This window comes from Homo sapiens, chromosome 10, assembly GCF_000001405.40.
Source record: "Homo sapiens chromosome 10, GRCh38.p14 Primary Assembly".
NCBI classification, from domain to species: Eukaryota; Metazoa; Chordata; class Mammalia; order Primates; family Hominidae; genus Homo; species Homo sapiens.
Genome location: NC_000010.11, coordinates 53,334,450 through 53,341,628, shown reverse-complemented (window position 1 = coordinate 53,341,628; position 7,179 = coordinate 53,334,450). Strand labels below are relative to the sequence as shown.

General features: G+C 39.2%; 1 annotated feature.

Moving 5' to 3' along the window:
- Positions 2,915-3,506: an enhancer, noted in NCBI's record as "NANOG hESC enhancer chr10:55097883-55098474 (GRCh37/hg19 assembly coordinates)". NCBI's record gives its function as "activates a minimal SCP1, AML or CMV promoter by ChIP-STARR-seq in primed H9 embryonic stem cells {active_cell/tissue: H9 hESC(primed)}" and the evidence as "EXISTENCE:reporter gene assay evidence [ECO:0000049][PMID:30033119]".

The following is a 7,179-nucleotide window of genomic DNA, read 5'->3' as shown; positions in this document are numbered from 1 at the left end:
ATGTAGAAAGCTGAAACTGGATCCCTTCCTTACAACTTATACAAAAATTAATTCAAGATGGATTAAAGACTTAAATGTTAGACCTAAAACCATAAAAACCCTAGAAGAAAACCTAGGCAATACCATTCAGGACATAGGCGTGGGCAAGGACTTCATGTCTAAACACCAAAAGCAATGGCAACAAAAGCCAAAATTGACAAATGGGATCTAATTAAACTCAAGAGCTTCTGCACAGCAAAAGAGACTACCATCAGAGTGAACAGGCAACCTACAGAGTGGGAGAAAATTTTTGCAACCTACTCATCTGACAAAGGGCTAATATCCAGAATCTACAATGAACTCAAACAAATTTACAAGAAAAAAACAAACAACCCCATCAACAAGTGGGCGAAGGATATGAACAGACACTTCTCAAAAGAAGACATATATGCAGCCAAAAAACACATGGAAAAAATGTTCATCATCACTGGCCATCAGAGAAATGCAAATCAAAACCACAATGAGATACCATCTCACACCAGTTAGAATGGCAATCATTAAAAAGTCAGGAAACAACAGGTGCTGGAGAGGATGTGGAGAAATAGGAACACTTTTACACTGTTGGTGGGACTGTAAACTAGTTCAACCATTGTGGAAGTCAGTGTGGTGATTGATTCCTCAGGGATCTAGAACTAGAAATACCATTTGACCCAGCCATCCCATTACTGGGTATATACCCAAAGGATTATAAATCATGCTGCTATAAAGACACATGCATACGTATGTTTATTGCGGCACTATTCACAATAGCAAAGACTTGGAACCAACCTAAATGTCCAACAATAGACTGGATTAAGAAAATGTGGCACATATACACCATGGAATACTATGCAGCCATAAAAAATGATGAGTTCATGTCCTTTGTAGGGACATGGATGAAACTGGAAACCATCATTCTCAGCAAACTATCACAAGGACAAAAAACCAAACACCGCATGTTCTCACTCATAGGTGGGAATTGAACAATGAGAACACATGGACACAGGAAGGGGAACATCACACACTGGGGACTGTTGTGGGGTGGGGGGAGGGGGGAGGGATAGCATTAGGAGATATACCTAATGCTAAATGACGAGTTAATGGGTGCAGCACACCAACATGGCACATGTATACATATGTAACAAACCTGCACATTATGCACATGTACACTAAAACTTAAAGTATAATAATAATAAAATAAAATAAAATTAAAAAAAAGAAAGGGAGCTCGGAAGCATCAGAGTAACAATGGGACAAGCGTGGGGTCTGGTTCGTTCCACCTTGGAACTTTTTCACACTGATGATGAGGAGGAAGGAGAGTATAGCGAAGTAACAGAAGAGGTTACACAGCATGTTTATTTACCAGCTAAAGCTAAAGCGGCAAAGGAAGGAGAGGTTCATCCCTACCCTTCTGCACCCCCTCATTATTTTGAAGAAAGAGATCCTCCAGATCTTTCTTTTCCAGAGGATACTCGGCAAAAAGTAGTTGCCGCAGTGACTGTTCGAACAGCGCCTCGAGCGACCGCTCTTAATTCTATTCAGGCAGGAATTCAGCAAGCTAGACGAGAGGGTGATTTAGAGGCTTGGCAGTTCCCTGTTAGAATACACCCCCCAGATCAACAGGGAAATATTATAGCTACATTTGAGCCCTTTCCTTTTAAATTACTCAAAGAATTTAAACAAGCTATTCATACTAAAAAAGAATGTAGAAATAATCAGTGAGTCAGGCTGCCAGATAGGGGAAAAAAGAAAACTGCTCATCTTGAAATATGTCCAAAATTTAAAAAAGAAAAACATTGGGCTAATCAGTGTCACTCTAAGTTTGATAGAGAAGGTAACCCGATTTCGGGAAATGCTATGAGGGGCCCGTCCTGGGCCCCATTCTAAACTGGGGCATTTCCAGCTCAGGCCATTCCCTCACCCCTGTACAATGTCTGTCCCCTGCCACAGCCAGTCGTGTCGCAGTAGGTTTGTGCTGCACAAAAGCTGTGAGCCTTCTGCCTGGGGAACCCCCATGAAAGGTCCCAACAGGAGTCTGCAGACCCTTGCCAGCGGGGACAATAGGATTACTTTTAGGAAGGTCTAGTTTAAGTTTAAAAGGGGTACAAATACATACAGGAGTCATTGATTCAGATTACAATGGGGAAATTCAGATTGTTATATCTACTTCTGTTCCCTGGAAAGCAGAGCCACGAGAGCGCATAGCACAGCTCCTGATTGTGCCGTATGTGGGAATGGGAAAAAGTGAAATTAAATGAACAGGAGGATTTGGAAGCACAAATAAACAAGGCAAAGCAGCTTATTGGGTAAATCAAATTACTGATAAATGTCCTACCTGTGAAATAACTATTCAGAGAAAGAAATTTAAAGGTTTGGTAGATACAGGAGCGGACATTTCAATCATTTCTCTACAGCACTGGCCGTCCATGTGGCCAATTCAACTCGCTCAATTTAACATATTTGGAGTTGGTAAAGCCCCTGAAGTATATCAGAGTAGTTATATTTTGCATTGTGAAGGGCCCAATGGACAACCTGGGACTATTCAACCAATTATGAATTCTGTACCTATAAATTTATGGGGGAGAGATTTATTACAACAATGGGGAGCACAAATTCTAATTCCAGAACAATTATATAGCCCTCAAAGTCAACATATGATGCATGAAATGGGGTATGTCCCTGGTATGGGACTAGAAAAAAAATTGCAAGGTTTGAAATAACCGCTTCAAGCGGAAAAGCAGAGTTCCCGCCAAAGATTAGGAAATAATTTTTGATGGTGGCCGTTAAGCCTCCAGAACGTACACCTTTAAAATTGTTAACAGATAAGACAATTTGGATAGAACAATGGCCGCTAAGTAAAGAGAAACTGGAGGTTTTAGAGAAATTATTGAACAATTAGAAAATGGGCGCATAGCTCCAACATTTTCCCCTTGGAATTCTCCAATTTTCGTAATTAAGAAAAAATCAGGTAAATGGAGAATGTTAACTGACTTAAGAGCTATCAATTCAGTAATACAACCTATGGGAGCATTACTGCCAGGATTGCCTCCTCCTGCTATAATTCAAAAAAATTGGCCTTTAATAGTCATAGATTTAAAAGACTGTTTCTTTACTATCCCTTTAGCTGAGCAAGACTGTGAATGGTTTGCATTTACAATTCCTGTGGTAAACAACCTGCAGCCTGCTAAGTATTTTCATTGTTTTACAGATGGGGCTGGTAATGGTAAAGCTTCTTATTCTGGTTCGAAAAGTAAAGTTTTCCAGATGCCCTATACTTCAGCTCAAAAAGTAGAGCTTGTAGCTGTAATTGAGGTATTGACTGCTTTTGATATGCCTGTTAATGTGATTTCTGATTCTTCATATGTGGTTCACTCCACACAGTTAAATGAAAATGCTTAGTTACGATTTCATACAGGTGAACAACTGATGACTTTATTTACCCAATTGCAAACAGCAGTTAGAAGTAGAATGCACCCTTTTTACATCACTCACATTAGGGCTCATACACCTCTTCCAGGACCTTTGACTGAAAGGAATCAAGTGGCTGATCACCTAGTTGCTAATGCAATATTTAATGCTAGACACTTTCACAATTTAACCCATGTTAATGCCTCTGGTCTCAAACGCAGATACAGCATTACCTGGAAAGAAGCTAAAGCTATTATCCAGTGATGCCCAACTTGCCAAATGGTACATTCCTCATCTTTTATAGGAATTAATCCTCGAGGATTGGAACCTAACTCTGTTTGACAAATGGATGTCACACAAGTTTCCTTCGTTTGGGAGACTAGCTTATGTACATGTATGTGTGGAGACCTTTTCTTACTTTTTCTGGGCTACATGCCAGTCAGGAGAGTCTTCTGCCTGTGTTAAATGTCACCTTCTGCGATGTTTTGCGGTGATGGGTATTCCAGCCTCTATTAAAATAGATAATGCCCCAGGCTATACTGGTCAAACTCTAGCTACATTTTTCTCTACGTGGAATATTAAACACATTACTGGTATCCCATACAATTCTCAAGGACAAGCCATAGTGGAAAGAATGAATCTTTCCCTAAAACAGCAGTTGCAAAAGCAGAAAGGGGGAAATAGAGAATATGGAGCCCCACAGTTGCAACTGAACCTAGCATTATTAACCTTAAATTTTTTGAGGCTGCCCAAAGGCCAGATGTTATCAGCAGCTGAACAGCACCTACAGAAACCAGCTGCAAAGACAGAAGCAGAACAACTGATTTTGTGGGGAGACCTGATAACAAAAAGTTGGGAAATAGGTAAAATAATAACTTAGGGTGGGGTTATGCTTGTATTTCTCCAGGACAAAATCAACAGCAAATTTAGATACCATCAAGACACCTGAAACCTCATCATGAGCCAGATGCCAAGGAAGAGATTCCGGGAGGATCCCAAAGACCCCCTGGTTGCAGCCATGTCAAGGCTGATGCTGAGGAGGACCACAACTGTCACAAGCAACACCTGTTGAACACAGCCACCCACCTGGGGACAGATCAAGAAGCTGTCACAGATGATGGAAGAAAACCTGAGGAAAGCGAGACAACCAGTCACAGTGAGTAATTTAATGGTAGCTATGATAGCGATGATCACCATTGCCATGAGTATTCCTTAAACCAGGGCTGACACAGAGAACAATTATACTTATTGGGCATATTTTTCAATCCTGACTGGTAATAATGCCTGGATATAATCATTCTATGACACAGTTACACATGCTTTCTGATCTCAGTATTTACCATACTAAATCTGCTCCTATAATTGAGGCATACTGCCCTCAAAAACCTATTTGTAAACAAAATAGAACCTGGCCAGAAATAATGAACGCACTTGTTTAGGAAGATTGCATTGCAGAACAGGCAGAGATGCTGCACAACGATTCCTATGGAATCATTATTGATTGGTCCCCTAAGGGGATGTTTAGCTTGAATTGCACCTCTTAGTCTGCGTGCCACGACCACGCTATGTTAAGCTGATCTGAACAAAATGGTCAGATGGTAGATATAATAAGAAGTATGGCAAAAGTTTTTATTATTTGGAACCATGGTGGTATAGTGGCCACCTCAACCTCAAATGATATGGCCCGCTGTAGGAGCTAAACATAAGGATTTGTGGAAACTATTAATAGCTCTTAATAAGATCAAAATTTGGGAAAGAATAACAAAGCATCTAGAAGGACACTCTACAAACTTGTTTTTGTTTATAACAAAATTAAAAGAACAAATATTTAAAGCATCCCAGGCACACCTGATCTTAATGCCAGGAACTGGAGTGCTTGAAGGAGTTTCAGACAAGTTAGCAGCTAGTAACCCATTAAAATGGATAAAAACACTTGGAAGCTCTGTGATTTCAATGATGATTGTGCTTTTAATCTGTATTGTTTGTCTTTGTATAGTCTGCAGATGTGGATCCTGACTCCTGGGAGAAGTAGCTCACCGTGACAAAACTGCCTTTGCTTTTATTGATTTGCAAATCAAAGAAGGGGGACATGTTGGGAACAAGCCCCCCCCCCCCCAAAATCTGGGCATAAACTGGCCCCAAAACTGGCCATAAACAAAATATCTGCAGCACTGTGGCATGTTCACGATGGCCATAATGCCCACGCTGGAAGGTGGTGAGCTTACCAGAATGAGGGCAAGGAACACCTGGCCCGCCCAGGGCGGAAACCCACTTAAAGGCATTCTTAAGCCACTAGCATGAGAGATCTGTGCCTTAAGAACATGCTCCTGCTGCAGTTAACTAGCCCAACCTATTCCTTTAATTTGGCCCATCCCATCGTTTGCCATAAGGGATACTTTTAGTTAATTTAATATCTATAGAAACAATGCTAATGATTGGCTTGCTGTTAATAAACACGTGGGTAAATCTCTGTTCAGGTCTCTCAGCTCTGAAGGCTGTGAGACCCCTGATTTCCCACTTCACACCTCTATATTTCTCTGTGTGTATGTCTTTAATTCCTCTAGCGCCACGGGGTTAGGGTCTCCCCGATCTGTCTGGTCTTGGCATTGGGTAACACTAAGTGAAATGTTAATTCTCCTATGTCTTTTTGAGAGTATTTGTATGCTTTTAAATACAGTTTGAACATCGTATTTCCCTTTATAGAAGGGTTCTTCAAAATCCATTTGAAACTCATGAACCAATGATTGAATAGTGTGAGGCAAGTGATCCACATAAAATATGATATATCTATTAATTCCTAGCTTGGAAAACTTAAAATATTTTATATTTTTAAATTTAAAATATTGTTTAAAATGAAAAGTTTCCACACATGAATGAAACAGAATTTGATTCTTGTACCCTGGTCAGGTTAAGATAGTTATATCTAATTTTGAAATAAAATAAAAACATTATTATAGATTTTTGAATCAAAAAACATGAAAATTGGTATTATTATTATTGGCAAGAGTGATATAAGCACCTACGGATATAGAGTCTACCCATTTTTAAGTTCCTATACCCTCTGATTATTGTTTAGTTTGATTAAATACTAATCTAGAAGTTGTATTGTTTTAAAACCACGGCCAACACAATTTTACTGATTGATATGTTAGATTTTATATCAATTTTTCATATCAATGACTTCATTATTAATGCAAATATTTATTATTATAGATGAATGTGTTTCTCTTTCATTTTTAATTATCAGTCACTGAAGCCTTGAGAAGTAAAATGTTACATAGACACAGTTAAGGATTTTGCATTGCTGAAAATGCTTCTCAGCTTGTGTCCTCAGAAAGTCAATTCATGAACCTTCACTGACTAATATATTGTGTAGAAAAGAGAGCTGTGAGCACAGATGAGGGCAGTCATAGCTTCTAGTTGGAATGCATATTTGATTTGGAACTGTCACCATCCAGGAATGCTAATGACGCTAAAGTGCTTTATAGATTATTTAAAAGGATATATCAGGAAACTTTTTATAATTACCATCACTGTATAGTTTTTAAGAGGACTTACAAATGGAGGCTCAATTTCAGTATGTTGTCTTAATATCATGTCTAATTGCCTAAATTGAGTTAAGCTTTTTAGTTGCTGTCATTATTGTGAATTCCAAAAATGAGCAATGATTACTCAGGGAGATGTATTTATCTCAGGAGAATGAAGACATTTTGTATACTGCTTTTCAAAAGCGCATTCTGCCCAGAACTCATA